General features: G+C 47.0%; 1 protein-coding gene across 3 annotated transcripts in view, besides 1 other annotated feature; it reads right to left on the bottom strand.

Moving 5' to 3' along the window:
- OSBP2 (oxysterol binding protein 2) overlaps nt 1-18,613 on the bottom strand; it is a 214,032-nt gene that overhangs the window by 146,070 nt on the left and 49,349 nt on the right. The gene's annotated exons all lie outside the window — the stretch shown is intronic.
- Nucleotides 6,073-6,222: a silencer, noted in NCBI's record as "silent region_13617". NCBI's record gives its function as "represses an Ori minimal core promoter by ATAC-STARR-seq in GM12878 lymphoblastoid cells {active_cell/tissue: GM12878}" and the evidence as "EXISTENCE:reporter gene assay evidence [ECO:0000049][PMID:35858748]".

The raw sequence follows: 18,613 nt of genomic DNA, 5'->3' as shown, positions 1-18,613 counted from the left end.
ATGTCTATCTCATTAATCTATATAGTGTTTGCCAACATCACACTGTCTTGTTTCTTTATGATAAGTCTTAAAATTGAGTAATTACTCCACCTTTATTCTTCTTTTTCAAAGTTGCTTTAGCTAGTCTAATTTCTTTATCTTTTCATATAAATGTATAATAAGTTTGTCTATGCTGAGAAAATGTCCTGCTGGGATTTTTTTTGGAATTGCATTCAAGCTACTGATCAGTCAAGGGAAAACTGACGTCTTTACTCTCTTGAATCTTCTGATCCATGAGCATTGTATGTCTCTCCATTTATTTTGGTCTTCTATTTCATCAGTATTTAACACTATTTACATATAGATACTATATTTGTTTTGTTATAATTATATCTAAGTATTTCATGGGGTCATTGTAAGTGATTTTTAAAAATTTTTTGTTACCAATTGTTCATTGCTAATACACAGAAATATGACTGGCCTTTATGTACTGACCTTGTATTCTGTGACCTTGTTAAACTCACTCTAAAAATATTTTTGTAGATTTCCTGGGATTTTTCTACACAGCCATCATGTCGCTTGCAAATAGGGATAGCTCTGTTTCTTTCTTCCCAATCTGAGTGCCTTTGACTTCTTTTTTCTTGCATTATAATACTGGCTAGTATTAGGATGAATATGAGGGGTGAGCATGGACATCCTTGACTTTACTGATCCTAGGCGGAAAGTAAAGCATTCAGTCTTCTATCACTACATATGATGTCAGTTTCTTGAAGATGCCCTTAATCAGGTGGAGGAGTCTCCTAGTTTGCTGAGAGTTTTTACCATGAATAATGTTAAATTTTGTCAAATGCCTTTTTCTGTATCAATTGATATTATAATGTAGTTTTTCTTAGATTGTTAATATTATGATTCCATTTATATTGATTTTCTTTTTTTTTTCTTTTTTTGAGACAGAGTCTTGCTCTGTTGCCCAGGCTGGGGTGCAGTGGTGCGATCTCCACTCACTGCAACCTCCGCCCTGCCAGGGTTCAAGCGATTCTCCTGACTCAGCCTCCTAAGTAGCTGAGACTACAGGTGTGCACCACCATGCCTGGCTAATTTTTGTATTTTCAGTAGAGACAGGGTTTCACCATGTTGGCCAAGCTGCTCTTGAACTCCTGACTTCAAGTGATCTGCCTGCATTGGCCTTCCAAAGTGCTGGGATTACAGGTGTGAGCCACTGCCCCCAGCCCCATTTATTGATTTTCAAACATGGAACCTATCTTGCACCTATCTTGCACTCATCTTGCACTCCTAGCATGAAATCCACTTGATCATGGTGTAATATTCTATTGTATTGCTGGTTTCAAATTGTTAATATTTTGTTGAAGATGTTTTCATCTATGCTCATGAGAAATATTGGTCCGAAGTTTTCTTTTCTTACACTATCTTTGTTCAGTTTGGTATCAGGGTATGCTGTCCTTATAAATGAGTTAGAAATTACTCACTCCTGTAATCCTAGCACTTTGGGAGGCCAAGGCGAGCAGATCACTTGAGGTCAGGAGTTTGAGACCAGCCTGGGCAACAGTGCAAGACTCTGTCTCAAAAAAAAAAAAAAAGCCGGGTGCAGTGGCTCACGCCTGTAATCCCAGCACTTTGGGAGACCAAGGCAGGCGGATCACCTGATGTCAGTAGTTCAGGATGACCCTGGCCAACATGGTGAAACCCTGTCTCTACTAAAAATACAAAAAAAAAAATTAGCTGGGCGTGGTGGCACATGCCTGTAATCCCAGCTACTAAGGAGGCTGAGGGAGGAGAACTGCTTGAACCTGGGAGGCAGAGGTTGCAGTGAGCCAAGACTGCACCACTGCACACTCCAGCCTGGGCAACAGAGCGAGACACTGTCTCAAAAAAAAAAGAAAAGAAAAATTAAAAAAGAAAAGAAATTACTCATTCCTCTTCTGTTTTCTGGAAGAGATTGTGTGGAAATAGTGTTATTCTTTTTTCAAATATTTGATAAAATTTACCTGTGAAATCATGTAGGCCTGAAGACTTCTTTTTTGAAGTGTTTTAAACTATGAATGCAACTTCTTTAATAGTTATAGGATTATTCAGTTTATGGATTTGATCTTGGGCAAGTGTTAGAATTTGATTTTTGAAGAATTGGTTCATTTCATCCAAGTTGTCAAATTTGTCAGCAGAGTTGTCTGTAGCATTCCTTTTATGTATTATGTATCTATTTTATGTTTTTGTAGTATTGTCCTTTTATGTTTGTTAGTGCTATTAATTGTTTATTTCATTCCTGATGTTGGTAATTTGATATTTTCATTTTAGCAGTCTATCAAATAAGTTGGGTTAAGGCCACAGGTAGTGACCAGCCGTCTCTGGGTGGTGGTTTCACTGTTTGTTCCATTTTCAAAGCCTTTGCAGTACTATTTGTTTTTGTTTTTGAGACAGAGTCTTGCTCTGGAGTGCAGTGGTGCAATCTCGGCTCACTGCAAGCTCTGCCTCCCAGGCTCAAGCGATTCTCCTGCCTCAGCCTCCCGAGTAGCTGGGATTACAGGTGTGCACCACCACGCCTGGCTAATTTTTGTATTTTTAGTAGAGACGGGGTTTCACCGTGTTGGCCAGGCTGGTCTCGAACTCCTGGCCTCAAGTGATCCACCTGTCTCGGCTTCCCAAAGTGCCAGGTTACACTGCGCCCGGCCCTTTGCAGTACTAGTTGGATCTGTTCCACATGTGTGCCAGCCAGTGGCCACAGGGACGTGGGTATTCATGCAGCTTTAAGTTCAGTTCTCAAAATCTTTAGTATGCTGTTTAGGATCAGATCCATCCATGTGCGGCTTGAACGTGAAGCCAGGAGTTCATGAAAACAACGTTATGGGGTCACTTTCCCAAGGTGTTCTCTTTCTGTGATTTCCTGTTTTTTTCTGGTTCTCTTGGGCTCTGTTTCAGTCCTCTGGCTGCCCACTTCCCACCACCACACCTATATCGGGGGCTAAGTGGTAGGAAGAGTGAGAGAAAAATGGAACAGGGGTTCCCTCACTTCTTGGGCCCAGAGCTCTTCCTACTGGTGTGCATGGATTCCTCTGAGTTTTTGGTACCTGCAGGCCTCTCATCGCCACTGCTATCACTGACAGGGGACCCTTTCCTCCTTGAGCCTGAACTAGAGGGCTTCTCCAGGAGTTTTCTCTGTCTGCTCACTTCTGGGTCTCCCCTGAGTCCACTCTAGAAGATACTGGAGGGAAAAAATTGTAACCTCACCACCTGTTTGGTGTTACCTCAGATTCTGGTCTTCTCTAGTCTGCTTGTGGCTACTTAATTTTCAGGGTGCTCAAATAGCTGCTCTGTGCATTCTGTCCACATTTTATTTTATTTTATTTTTGAGACAGAGTCTCGCTCTGTCACCCAGGCTGGAATGCAGTGGTGCCATCTCGGCTCACTGCAACCTCTTCCTCCCGGGATCAAGTGATTATCACACCTCAGCCTCCCCAGTAGCTGGACTACAAGCGTGCGCCACCACACCCGGCTAATTTTTGTATTTTTAGTAGAGATGGGGTTTCACCATGTTGGCCAGGCCGGTCTCGAACTCCTGGCCTCAAGTGATCGGCCTGCCTCAGGCTTCCAAAGTGCACGGATTACAGGCATGAGCCACTGTGCCTGGCCCTGTCCATGTTTCATAGCTGCAGAGTGAAACCTTCTCACTTAATCCTACCTGGAACTGGAACTGAGCAGAATTGGATTTTAAAAGACTCACTCTTGCTGTCCAGACTCTGGGAGGTCAGATAGTGAAACTGGGTTGGAGGCCAGGCAGATGGAGGGCAGTGGGCAGATGTGAAAGTGCTCAGGTCTGGCACTGACAGGATCTGCTGACAAGCTGCACATGAGGGATCAGGGAGGGCAGGACTCAAGGTGACACCCAGGTTCACTTCTTAGTCATCTGCCAGGTCTGGAAAGTGACCTGAGACCTTGGCTAGTACAGTTTCAAAGTAGTGAGTGGTGGGTCATATGCAGTGGGAAGAGGCCAGGAGAGAGGTTGAGGCTACAGGAGTGACAAAACAGCAATAAGGCTGGGTGCAGTGGCTCATGTCTGTAATCCCAGCACTTTGGGAGGCCGAGGCGGGCAGACCACTTGAGGTCAGGAGTTTGAGACCAGCCTGGCCAACATGGTGGAACCCTGTCTCTACCGAAAATACAAAAATTAGCCAGGTATGGTGGCACCCACCTGTAGACCCAGCTACTCGGGAGACTGAGACAGGAGAATCACTTGAACCCGGGAGGCGGAGGTTGCAGTGAGCCGAGATCATGCCATTGTACTCCAGCTTGGGCGACAGAGACTCTGTCTCAAAAAAAAAAGAAAAGAAAAGGAAAAAGAAAACAGCGATAAAACCAAGTCCCCCAGCAAGAGGGAGAAAATCACCCTTTGAAGCTGGCACTGCTTCAAAGGGGAGAAATGTCTCCACTGGAATCATTTGGGATTCATATGGCAGGGGGGACGCAGGGAGCGTGTAATGGCAGAGAGCTGAGGGGCTCAGCTGTGGATCTGGTTTTGTTCTATGCATGAGGAAGCAAGATCTTTTGCAGTGTGGCAGGAGGCAGCAGTGAAAATATACAGAGTAGCAAGGACGTCCCTGGGAGATGGGAGAGAAAGGTGGTGAGGGACTCACACAAAGGGGACAGGTACTGATCAAGGCCAGCAGATATTCTGGGTTTGAGGAGTGTGGTCTGCCTGGCTGGGAGGTGTCAACGCACAGCAGATACCCTGCGTTTGAGGAGTGTGGTCTGCATGGTTGGAAGGGGTCACCACACAGCAGATACCCTGGGTTTGAGGAGTGTTGTCTGCATGGCTGGGAGGGTCACTGCAGAACGTGGCTGCATAGCATGTGTACGTGTGCTCAGCAAAGGGCCCTATCACCCCTGCCTGAAGGTAGAAGGTGCAGAACTGACAGGTCATCACCCAAAGACTGACAATGTTACTTCCGTCAGCTGAGTGGCCACCACACTCCAGTGACTGCTGGGCAGTTTGTAGCATGATTTGATTTATCCCTCTTGACAACTCTAAGAGGTTTTTTTTGTTTGTTTGTTTTGTTTTTTTAATGGAGTCTCGCTCTGTCGTCCAAGCTGGAGTGCAGCGGCATGATCTTTGCTCACCGCAAACTCCACCTCCCGGGTTCGAACGATTCTTCTGCCTCAGCCTCCTGAGTAGCTGTGACTACAGGCGTGCGCCACCATGCCCAGCTAATTTTTGTATTTTTACTAGAGACGGGGTTTCACCGTATTGGTCAGGCTGGTCTGGAACTCCTGACCTCGTGATCCGCCCACCTCAGCCTCCCAAAGTCAAAGTGCTGGGGTTACAGGCGTGAGACACCATGCCTGGCCCCTAAAAGGTCTTTATCATTACATACACTTTGTGGGTGAAGAGACAGAGGCAGAGGGACCCACCTTATAAGTGACACAGTCTGGATTTGGGCCCAACCTGTCTAGTGCCTGGGCTGCCCCATGGTTAGACAGAGGACAAACAGGTGTGAAGGAAGCCAGACAACCAGGAGAGAGAGGAAGAACTCACCCCAGCAGGGATGAACCACAGGGCGAGGCCAAGTGAGAAAGGAAAAGAAAAACGCAACTGCCACCTGGAGGAGTCAGATCTGGAAGGGCACTGGAAGGGTAACTGCTGTGGTGGCCAGAACAGGGCTTCTGATTTTAAGATTACTGAGCCAGAGCCCACAGAGTCTGGAGGTGACCATGTGGGGGCAGAGGTGGACAGGGCCTAGTGGGGTCAGGCTGCGTGGGGACTGGTGCTCCACGTTAAGGCACAGCTGAAGATGCAAGAGCATGCCGACCAGGGAACGAGGCCCAGGGGTTGAGGACAAGCTCCATGGCCAAGGGCCCTGGTGGACCTGAGGGCTGAGACGGGTGGGGTGCAATCCTAGCAGAGGCACCAAGACACCAGGATTTGGAAGAATGAGTGGCACAGGGAGGGGAACGCTGAAGAGGGGCACAATCGACCAGTCCCTGGGCCAGGTTTGCCCCTCTTGGAGGGTGGGGGCTGCGTAGGTGAAAGTTCCTTCTCCTGGTTGGACTCTTCTCCCCAGAGGTCTCACATTCTGATGACCCTGTGGGGACCTTATAAAGACAGGTGAGCAAGCCAGCCCTGGTTGACTCAACATGCCCTCAGAAGGGCCTCAATCCAGCCACCAGATGGCAGCTGGAAATAAGACAAAGCTTCCCGAAGTCAAAAGAGGCCTACACTTCGGAAGCTGCTTAAACAACCAATCACACGGTCCTGGGGTTGCCTGATTCCTCATCAGAACAGCAGAAAACTCCATGCCCTTCCTCATATGAATTTTTCTAATAAAGGATAAGAAAGGAATGAGAATCTGATAATAAGGACTCTCTTGAAAGGCTGCTTGGTCCTGTGGTGAGCTCTGGTCTCTCTGGTGATATGGGGCCCTGTACATCTCCAGCCCAGCAGGGAAGTCTCCTGATCTGTGGCCCAGGACATCATCTGAGGTCCCAGCCATCAGCTGCCCAGAGCTCTGCACCCACTCTGCTCTAAGCGCCCCTGTGGGTCTGGCATGCCCAGTGGGTGTAAAGCATGACTGTTTAGTGGCCACGGCCTACACAGCTATAGATCTATAGATGTTGTCCATCAGCAGCTGAGAAGTGCCCACAGGGGGACACAAGTGAGCTGATCCTGGCTAGGGCGTTGGAGATGCGTGTGCTGAAAGCTAAGAGGTCAGGAAGATAGGGTCCCAGCAAGAAAGAGGAGAGGCTGCCCAGCAGAAAGAGTGGGTATACAGGAAGAAAGCAGAGGGGTCAAGGACGGGGAGTTTTTATGAGCTTGAAGACAGATGGGAAGATCAGTGATGGGGACAGGAAGATGTAGTCAGCAGAAAGCTATATGGCAATGGGAGGCTTTGAGATGGGGCAAGGGCAGCCCCAAGAGGCAATGACCAAAGCTGATCCAGAAGCCAGGGGGCTGGACAGGTCAACCCCTGCCCCAGCACAGCAGCAGGAGGTCCATGCAGAGGAGCTCCAGGTGGAGAAGTCAGACACACATGGAGACCCCAAGATGAGGCCGGCGGGGCAGGACAGCACAGCACACAGGCTTCCCTGAGGCCAAGGGAGAGCCCTCGGGGGTGACACAAAGGACATGGGGAAGGTAAGGCAGCTTGCTACAGAGCAGGGTGGGGTGTAAGCCAAGGGGCACGGGGAAACAGTGAGGTGCCTACTCCACCCCAGGTACAGCTCTTCTCTCCTCTGCATGGGCCAGCATACCTGTGCTGCCCACATGAGTCTCTCCTCAGCCCCAAACAGTGAGCTCCTTAAAGGCCAGGTCCAAGCCTGTGCCTGTTCATCTCTGAGTTCCCTGCATCTGGCTCAGCCCCCAGGACACACAAGGACACCAATCAAAGCCTGCTGAGGGACATATGCATGCACTTTAGTGCATAAGAACCATTTTGCCTTTCAGTGACCTTGCAGGATTGCGTTGCTTTCTTTCACAGAACAGGAGCCTTCCAATGTCAACAATAAACAGGAACTATAAACAGAGGGAGTGTGCAGGGAAAACACATCCAGGGAGTTTCAGCATCTTCTCACGCACTTGGAAAAGTCTGCCCAATTTTTGGCTGAAGTCCAGCCAAAAGATTCAAAGGAAAATCTATTTTTTCCCCAAGCAGCAGAAAGAAAGACTCAGAGTAATTCTCTCAAGTGCTGTGTGCCTCTGATTTCTTGGAGTTTGATCAATGTGACACAATATTTGGGCATAACAATTAAGAACAAATAAATTCCACACAGGGAACAATGTGTCATCCAGCCCCAAATACACAGGTGGAAGGGAATGTGAGAGCTGCCACCAGGCAAAACGGAAGGAATACCAAACTGGCTGGAGAAAAGGCCACTGCATTCCAGGGCATTCTACAGGACATGCTTGCTTCACTGCTTTCAAATCCCTCTCATAACTTCAAATATGTGGAAAAAGTTTGTTTCCCCCTGAAGGGTTGCAGGCAAATATGCCCTTCTCCTGGGGATAAGTCCAATAATAACTCTTTTCAGAGGGAGCCAAATAACCCGTGTTCAAACCATCACATGCAAAATCCTTGGGAAAGCACATCATCCCGCTCTGTGGTGGCTGCTGACCAAAGACGGTTTGGCCTGGAGTGGACAGGTGACTTCTACACTCTGGCCACTGAGCCTGTCCAGCCCTCCCATCCACCACCTTCCTGGCCAGATGGAGGTCCTAGTCCCAGATCTTGCCCAGGCCAATACCCTCAGCTTCAAGGGAAGGAGCACGGAGCTGTCTCCACCAAGTTATCTTGAACCTCCCCTGGTGACTCCCAGGCTGAGGGATGCTGCAGTCTGACTATGATGCCCAGGCCACAGAGGACACTCACAGTCCCTGAACACATCTACCCTTTTGCTCCAACCATGCCCACCACCTGGAGTCCTCTTCCCTGCCCTCCTCACCTCCATCTCCATATTCCAAAGCTTCTCAAGTCTCACCTCCCACCAGTAACATCCTATCCCCACACCCCACCTCCAGCCACCCCAAGACACTGAGGGCCTCCTACCTTACACTGTGCTAATCCATATGCAAATCTCCCTTCCAACCACAGAGGGTCTTGGTTCTCACCTCTGTGGGAGCTGCCACACCTTGCTCCTGAAGTTTGAGTTCATATAGGGCTGTAAACTGAAAAAAAATTCGAAGTGCCACAACCATGTAAATGGGCTCCTCCTTTCAGCCAAGGGCATTCCAAAGTTAACCTAAAAAAAGTAGCTAGGGTCATGATGGGAAGTGGGGGTTGGACATGCCTCTGTACCCTCCTCCCTTTGGAATTCAGGCACAGCTGCCTAGCATTAACATTAAAGCAGAGATCTTAAGACTTTTTGTAGCAATGACACCAAGTTCCAGCCTGACTCTAGTATAGTATCACATGACAAATAGCAGGCCCTAAAAGAGATCAGAGTATTTTACCTGAAAATACATTTCTTTGACATATTTTGAAATGGCCCTGCAAATCTGTCTCTTGGGAAAGTCTATGTTCTTTAGAGAATCTCTTTCCTTTTCCAGGTCTTTTCCTTGATCCAGGAGAGAACTAAGAGTGTGGCACCTTTTTAAGTCTGGTGAGAACCATTTACAATCTATTCTCTCTGAAGCCTGCTACTTGGAGGCTTCATCTGCATAATAAGAACCCTGGGCCCGGCGCGGTGGCTCACACCTGTAATCCTAGCACTTTGGGAGGCCAAGGCAGGCGGATCACAAGGTCAGGAGATCGAGACCATCCTGGGTAACACCTTGTCTCTACTAAAAATACAAAAAATTAGCTGGGCGTGGTGGTGGGCGCCTGTAGTCCCAGCTACTCGGGAAGCTGAGGCAGAAGAATGGCGTGAACCCAGGAGGTGGAGCTTGCAGTGAGCCGAGATGGTGCCACTGCACTCCAGCCTGGGCGACAGAGTGAGACTCTGTCTCAAAAAAAAAAAAAAAAAAAAAAAAAAAAGCAAAGCAAAGAAAAAATATGTGGCCTGGAAATAAGTATTCCTTCCTTCAGCTCATTTTAGGCAACTGGCAAGTTCGAGCCATAAATATAAAACTGGAAAACCTCAAAAGGTCAAATTTTAGATGCACAGGCAGAGAATCACTACTGCAGTGAGCAGAGGTGGCTGGGTGCCGCTGAACAGCACTCTGCTCCAACACCTGGTCCTGGGCTCCAGGGAAGGCCCACGGCTGAGGAAGGGCTGGCAGGGAAGGGCTACCGTCCCAGCTTGCAGACCCCTCTGTGACTGACACAGGTACTCTTTTGGGAAGTGTGAGCACGCCTCCCCCAGGATGACCATGGCTTTCCCTCCTGCAGCCACAAGCAGCATGTCTTTGCCCTGAGCAGAAGGTGAATGTCTTTCTAGAGGTGAATCCCTCGGGGGCTGCTGAGCCTCATTTTGGGTCGACACATGTTGTTGGACATAAGTTGTTTGAAGACAGTAAAAGCAGTTTTTTCCTTTCACCTCTCAAGTGCCCTGGGCGCCTAATCTCCTGCGGGTGATTCTGCCCCATCTCCTGCCACCGGCTGTGGGCGGATGATTTATGAGTGCTGGGTGTCAACGAAAAGAGTCAAACTCTGTAAAATATTTGAAGAGGGCTGGGCGCAGTGGCTCACGCCTGTAATCCCAGTACTTTGGGAGGCCAAGGCAGGAGGATCACCTCAGGTCAGGAATTGGAGACCAGCCTGGCAAACATGGCAAAACCCCGTCTCTACTAAAAATACAAAAACTAGCCAGGCGTGGTGGTGGACACCTATAATCCCAGCTACTTGGGAGGCTGAGGCAGGAGAATTGCTTGAACTTGGGAGATGGGGGTTGCAGTGAGCCGAGATCACGCCACTGCACTCCAGCCTGGATGACAGAGTGAGACTCCGTCTCAAGAAAAAAGAAAAAAATATATATATATACATATATATATACACACACACACAACACATACATATTTGAAGAGATTTATTCTGAGCCAAATATGAGTGACCATGGCCCCTGGCACAGCCCTCAGGAGATCCTGAGAACATGTGCCAAGGTGATTGGGGTGCAATTTGATTTTATACATTTTAGGGAGACACGAAACTTCAATCAAATACATTTAAGAAACACATTGGTTTGGTCCAGAAAAGTGGGACAACTTGAAGTGGGCAGGGTTTCCAGGTTACAGGTAGATTTAAATTTTTTCTAATTGGCAATTGATTTTAAGAGTTATCAATAGAGGCCGGGTGCAGTGGCTCACGCCTGTAATCCCAGCACTTTGGGAGACTGAGATGAGTGGATCACCTGAGGTCAGGAGTTCAAGAACAGCCTGGTCAAGATGGTGAAACCCGACTCTATTAAAAATACAAAAATTAGCCAGGCATGGTGGCACATGCCTATAATAACTACTCAGAAAGCTGAGGCAGGAGAATTGCTCGAACCTGGGAGGCAGAGGTTGCAGTAAGCTGAGATCGTGCCACTGCACTCTAGCCTGGGCAACAGATAGAGACTCCATCTCAAAAACAAAAACAAAAACAAAAAACAAAGAGTTATCACTAGAAAGGAATACCTGGGTTGGGATAAGAGGTTGTGGAGACCAAAGTTTTATCACGCAGATGAAGCCTCCAGGTAGCAGGCTTTGGAGAGAATAGATTGCCAATGTTTCTTATCAGACTTAAGGTCTGTGTTGATGTTAACATCAGAGAGGTATTACAAGGCATGTCCTATTCCCACTTCCCATCATTGCCTGAACCAGTCTTTCAGGTTAAATTTTAGAGTGCCCTGGCCTAGGAGGAAGTCCCAGTTAGATGGTTGGGGGGCCTTTGAATTTTAATTTTTTGTTTACATGGGGCACATGACCCACCAGCAATGCCAGCATGAATGGAATTGGTTGCATTCACAGTGCAACACACTTTGCATTTACCATCGTGTAATCCTCCCAGCAACTAAGCAGGAATGCCAAAGACAGGGAACTGGAGCTCAGAAACATTCACTGATTTGACCAAGGCCCCAGAGCTGGGCTTAGGGAGAAGTTTGGTCAACTGTTCATTCCATAGACGAGAGGCTGAGGCACCATGAGACACAGTGACTTATCCAGCATCAGATCTGCCCCTGGGCCCACTGTTCTGTCCACACTGCCACAGAATATTCTACCAAATTTGGAAAGGGAACAGTTAGAGAAATGCAAACTTAGCCCAGAATGACAGCACTCAAACACTGGGAGGACCGTCAGGCCCAGCCCTCTGGCTCTGACCTTTCACTATGTTCTTCACCTCTCCCTCCCTCTCCTAGTGTGCTCTGTTCTTGACCAAGCAGAAATCAGTCTCACTGCTTCCACTCCTGGTTCTGCTTGTTCCACTAGAAACGAGTCTGTGGCCAGGCGCGGTGGCTCACGTCTGTAATCCTCCCACTTTGGGAGGCTGAGGTGGGCAGATCACTTGAGGCCAGGAGTTCAAGACCAGCCTGGCTAACATGGCAAAACCTCGTCTCTACTAAAAATACAAAAATCAGCCAGGCATGGTGGCGCATGCCTGTAATCTCAGATACTTGGAGGGTTGAGGCAGGAGAATTGCTTGAACCTGGGAGGCGGAGGTTGCAGTAAGCCAAGATTGCGCCACTGCACTCCAGTCTGGGTGACAGAGCAAGACTCCATCTCAAAAATAAAAAACAAACAAAATTAGAAACGAGTCTGTGGCTTCATTTGCACACCCTCACTCTTCAAACTTTCAATTCAAGCAGGTTCTGCCTGGTCTTCCTTTCTCCGGCCAAATGTCACAAGTTCATTTGTTCCAGTGGTGACAGTGTCAGAAGCATCCTAACCAGAGTGACTCCATCTTGAATAAAGCCAAGATAAAGCCAAAGCTGCTGGGTTACATTCCCAGGAGGTTGGGCACTCCTGGTCACATGTTTATGGTTAAGAGAATGAGCTAATGATATTAACCAACTAAAGACTCAGAACTTATGGAAATGTCCCAGTACTTTAAAAACACAAAAGCATTCTTAGTTTAAGAGTAGGTTTTGATTTAAAAATAATAGTACACTCATAAATTCTTGCTAAAATCAAGAATTAGCAACAATAGGAAAGTAACAATACTAATAGCCTGCCACTAGTTAATCACCAGCCTTTGTAATAAATACACGATTCTTTTTTGTTTGTTTGTTTGTAGACAGAGTCTCGCTCTGTCTCACCCAGGCTGGAGTGCAGTGACACAATCTCGGCTCACTGCAACTTCCACCTCCCAGGTTCAAGCGATTCTCCTGCCTCGGCCTCCCAACTAGCTGGGATTACAGGCGTGCGCTACTATGCCCAGCTAATTTTTGTATTTTTATTACAGACGGGGTTTCACCATGTTGGCCACGCTGATCTCGAACTCCTGACCTAAGGTGATCCACCTGCCTTGGCCTCCCAAAGTGCTGGGATTACAGGCATGAGCCACCATGTCTGGCCTAAATACACAATTCTTAACAACCTGCTAGCACATTGCTCCTTTTGCTTTCTGAGGATGCCCTACTCTGTAACTGAGTAGTCTCTAATAAGTGATCTTAACTTCACTCTGTGACTTGCCTTGATTTCTTTCCTGCGACAGATTCAAGAACCCACTCTTGGGATCTGGGACCAGACCCCTTTTCTGGTGACAATAGGTAGAAAGGAACCGCAACACCACAGTCTTCTTCTGCAAGGACACTGCTGGTGCTGCCAAGGGTGTCATGGCACACTGGCCCCACAACAGATCCTTGCTAGGCACCAACCCCAGTAACAAACTTAGTGTCTGGCCCTGAGGTCACCATGAAAACAAGACATACAGGCAGACATACAGGCTCTCTCTGCCCTCAAGGAACTTAGGTTCTATTGAGGAGATGAACAATAAACAATTTAAATGGTTCGGGGGTCTTGGAAGTTTTTTAGTTTAGGCCAGGTGCAGTGGGTCACACCTGTAATCCCAGCACTTTGGGAGGCTGAGGCAGGCGGATCACCTGAGGTCAGGAGTTCAAGACCGGCCTCAGGAGGCGGAGGTTGCATGCAGTGAGCCAAGATCGCGCCACTGCACTCCAGCCTGGGTGACAGAGTGGACTCCATCTTAAAATAAATAAATAAATAAAAATAGGCTGGGTGTGGTGGCTCATGGCTGTAATCCCAGCACTTTGGGAGGCAGGGGTGGGTGGATCATTTGAGGTCAGGAGTTCGAGACCAGCCTGCCCAACATGGTAAAACCCTGCCTCTACTAAAAATACAAAAATTAGCTGGGTGTGGTGGTGGGTGCCTGTAGTCCCAGCTACAGACTGAGGCAGGAGAATCACTTGAACCCAGGAGATGGAGGTTGCAGTGAGCCAAGATCATACCACTGCACTCCAGCCTGGGTGACAGAGCAAGACTCCACCTCAAAATATAAATAAATAAAAATAAAAATAACTGTAGATGGCAGTGAAGAAAATATCCAGGGTGCTATAATGGAGATGTCTCAAGAGAGAGGAACAGCTTAAAGTACTTCGAGGTGACATTAGGCTGAGCTCCGAAGATGGGACACCAGTCAGATGTGTTCTAGGCAGAGAGACCAGGAAGTACAAAGGCCCTGAAGCAGAGCTGAGCCCAGTGGGTGGGGCAAGGAAGAGGAGGAAAGGAGGCTGCCAGCAGGGGCCTGATCACACGGGGCCTTACCGCACCGCCAATGTGAGGAAGAGCTTGGATTTTACCCAACGACCACTAGCAAGCCACTTAAGATAATTTTATACGTGTGTGTGGATGTAAACATACATAATGTTTACCATTTGAATCATTTTATTTTTATTATTATTATTTTTGGGGACAAGGCATTGCTCTGTTACCCAGGCTGGAGTACAGTGGCATGAACATGGTTCAGTGCAACCTCAAACTTATGGGCTCAAGCAATCCTCTTGCCTCAGCCTCCCAAAGTGTTGGAATTACAGGCGTGTGCCACCATGTCTGGCCCATTTTAAAGTGATATTTAGTACATTCATAATGTGCAACCACCACCTCTGTCTAGTTACATAATATTCTCATCACCCCAAAAAGAAACCCCATACCCTTTAAGCTGTCACTTCCCATCTCCCCCTAGTTCCTACAAACCACTAGTCTGCTTTCTATCACTATGGATTTACCTGTTCTATTCCTAGCTTGCTGAGTGTGTTCATCATGAAAGGGTGTTGAATATTTGTCAGATCGTTTTTCTGTATCAGTTGAGAGGGCCACATGTGGCTTTTTTCACCTTCAGTCAAATTGATGTACTACATTGTTTGTTTTTTGGTTGTTGTTGAACTACCCTTCCACTCCTGGGGTAAGTCCCACTTGGTCATGGTGTATAGTCCTTTAAATACTCTAATGGATTTTGTTTGCCAGTATTTTGTTGAGGGATTTTGCAGCTATATTCATAAAGGATAATGGTTTATACTTTTCTTTTCTTGTGACGTCTTTGTTTGGCTTAGGTATCAGGGCTGGCCTCATAAAATTAGTAATTAAGTGTTTCATCCTCAGGCTGGGCACAGTGGCTCGTGCCTGTAATCCCAGCACTTTGGGAGGCCAAGGCAGGCGGATCATCTGAGGTCAGGAGTTCAAGACCAGCCTGGCTAACATGGTGAAACTCCGTTTCTACTAAAAATACAAAAAAATTAGCCGGGTGTGGTGGTAGGTGCCTGTAATCCCAGCTACTCGGGAGGCTGAGGCAGGAGAATCGCTTGAACCTGGGAGGTGAAGCTTGCAATGAGCCGAGATTGCACCACTGCACTCCAGTTTAGGCAACAAGAGCGAAACTCCATCTCAAAAAAAAAAAAAAAAAAAAAGTGTTTCATCCTCTTCAATTTTTTGGAAAAAATTTAAGAAGAATTGGTATAATTTTTTTTTTGAGACAGGGTCTCACTCCACTGCTCAGGCTGAAGTGCAGTGGTGAAATCATGGCTCACTGAAGCCTCAACCTCTGGGGGTCAAGCAATCCTCCCACCTCAGGCTCTGAAGTAGCTGGGACTACAGGCATGTGCTATCATGCCTGGCTAGTTTCATTTTTCAAATTTTTGTAAAGAAAGGGTCTCACTATGTTGCCCAGGTTAGTGTTAAACTCCTGGGCTCAGTTGATCCTCCCTCCTAGGCCTCCCAAAGTGCTGGAATTACAGACGTGACCCACCAGGCCCAGCCTTGCAAGTTCTTTAAATGTTTGGTAGAATTCACCCAATTAAGCCATCTGGTCTTGGACTTTCCTTAGTTTCAAGATCTTTGATTACAGATTCAATGACCTCTTCATTGTAGGTCTGCTAAGATATTTTATTTCTTCTTTACTCAGTTTTTGTAATTTGAGTGTTTCTAAGAGTTTGTCCATTTGCATCCAGGTTATCTAATTTGTTGGCATAAACTGTTCATTATAATCCTTTTCATCCTGTTCTTATAACCCTTTTCATTTCTGTAAGGTCATTAGTAATGTTCCCACTTTCATTTCTGATTTCAGTAATTCGAGTCTTCTCTTTTTTTCTTAGTCTAGCTAAAGGTTTACCAACTACGTCAGTCTTTTCAAAGAACCAACTTTTGCTTTCATTCATTCTCTCTATTGGTTTTTCTATTCTCTATTTCATTTACTCTAACTCTAATTTTTTTTTTTTTTTTTTTTTTTTGAGACAGAGTCTCACTCTGTTGCCCAGGCTGGAGCGCAGTGGCATGATCTCAGCTTGCTGCAACCTCTGCCTCCCCGGTTCAAGTGATTCTCCTGCCTCAGCCTCTTGAGTAGCTGGGATTACAGGCGTCTGCTACCACATCTGGCTAATTTAATTTTTAAATTTTTTTAGTAGAAATGGGGCTTAAGCATGTTGGCCAGGCTGGTCTCAAACTCCTGACCTCAGGTGATCTGCCCACCTTGGCCTCCCAAAGTGCTGGGATTACAGGCGTGAGCCACCACGCCCAGCCCAACTTTAATCTTTATTGTTTCCTTCCCTCTGCTAGCTTTGAGTTTAGTTTGTTCTTTACCTACTTCCTTCGGGTATAAAGTTTGGTTTTTCATTTCAGATTCATTTTCCTTCTTTTTTAACATACACTTTTAGCGCTATAATTTTTTTTTTGTATTTTTTTCTGGCACACAAATGAGGATTAGATAGAACTATACATTTCTCTCTGGGCACTGCTTTTGCGTATTCCAAAATTTTGGTAAACTGTGTTCTTGTTTTCATTTATCTCAATGTATTTTCGAATTTCCCTTGTGATTTCATCTTTGATCCACTCATTGTTTAAGAGTATGTTGTTTAACTTCCATGCATTTTCTAGTGTTACCTCTGTTATTGATTCCTACCTTCATTCCACTGCGGTCAGAAAAGATACTTCATATAGTCTCAATCTTTTTTAAATTTATTGAGACTTGTTTTGTGGCCTAACATATGGTCTATCCTGAAAAATGTTCCATGTGTACTTGAAAAGAAATTATAATCTGCTGTTGTTGAGTGGAGTGTTTTGTATATGTCTGCTAAGTCTAGTTGGTTTATAGCACCTAAGAGTTGATTTATTTGTTTGTTTGTTTGTTTGTTTGTTTTGAGACAGAGTCTCACTCTGTTGCCCAGGCTGAAGTGTAGTGGCGTGATCTCGGCTCACAGCAACCTCTGCCTCCAGGGTTCAAGCGATTCTCCTGCCTCAGCCTCCCAAGTAGCTGGGACTACAGGCACGCGCCACCACACTCAGCTAATTTTTGTATTTTTAGCAGAGATGGGGTTTCACCATGTTGGTCAGGGTGGTCTCGAACTCCTGATAGACATCCAGATAGGAGGGGATTGTACTTGGATTAGGGCATGGCAAAAGAGCTGGGGAGTAGCAGGTGATTTCAAGAGATAAGCAGAAGTAGGAAGTAGGCTTCCAGCAGGATGAGACAGGGTTCTCAGTTCAGGAGAAGAAAACAGGCCCCGGGATAACCCACAGTGGCCTGCCTAAAGTGCTATCTATGTCCTTGACCCAGCTGGCCACCATCAGCCAGGCCCAAGGAGAGCGACATTAGGCCATCTTCTCTCATTCAAGGCTGCCCCAAGCTGACTCCAAGACAGGCAAAAAGTTACAAACCACAACTCTCTCACATCAGCCTGAGAGCTTAGAGAGGAGGACCTTGCCTTTAACAGAAGGCCATCAAAAGGGCTATTTTCCAAGACATAATCAGGTGGTCCCAATCTTTCCATAAACACAGAGTAGCCGTCTGAAGGCTTTTCCTTCACATACATGGTTCATTCATGCTTCAAAAAGCCAACAGGAGAGGAATCCTACCTTGAGGGTTACCTGGACATTTGTCTCTGTCCTGTGCCCTTGCCCAGAAGGCTGCCCTCTTGGCACTTGTGCTGCATCTCATACAATGAAGGAAGCTGAGCCTAAGGTTACTCCCTCAGGGGTCCCCTTCTCCCCTAGATGAAGTCTGGGCAGCAGTCTCCAGCACTGCCCAGCTGAGTTAACAAGCACTTCCTTCCTCCCCGCCCTCACCTCCGCACCCTGCCAACTGCAAAAGAAACCCCTCGCACTGGCTGTCGTAGGAAAACTGTTGCCGGATGACTAATCCCATGACTGCCACCTGCTGCATTATTTTCAAGAAGTTCCTAAAAAATAAGGCAATTTATCATTTATTTATTTATTTATACTTAGAAAAGCGAAACCAGGGAGAGGAAGCTAGATCTCTAGTTAGCATCCTTACTTGGCCAGTGTGAGTGCCCTGAGCCCAGCTGTGCCAGCAGCCACAGATTTTGCCACAGTGGCTTCCCACAGGCATACAAACTGAGACCACAGGTCCTTCTGGGGGTCCCAACACAGCCCATGTCTGAGATGGTCCCACCTGCCTCCTTCACTGGGTGATGGAGTGGTACCCGGGGGACCGCCGTCAAGCTCAGCATCATTGCTGACATACGAGAGCTACATGAGTGCTGACACCTCAGGGAGAACAGTCACCAAGCAGGTGACCCATGCTCCAAATGAGTGAGACAAAAGAGAAAGCCAGACTGGTTTTCAGTGCCCTTTAATACTCACTGAGACCCTAGAGCTGGGAGACAGACCCCAACATGGGAGACAGGGATGGGGCATAAGGACCAACATCACTAGCTCTCATCCTGCCAAATGCTGGAGCTCCTTCCACAGGACTCACCATCTCCCCACCCAGTCTCCAAGATAGTCTGGGAGAGCAGGGGCTGTGCCCCC

Source organism: Homo sapiens, chromosome 22 (assembly GCF_000001405.40).
Source record: "Homo sapiens chromosome 22, GRCh38.p14 Primary Assembly".
NCBI lineage: Eukaryota > Metazoa > Chordata > Mammalia > Primates > Hominidae > Homo > Homo sapiens.
Note: the sequence above shows the minus strand (reverse complement) of the source record. Positions and strands in the feature narration are given on the sequence as shown.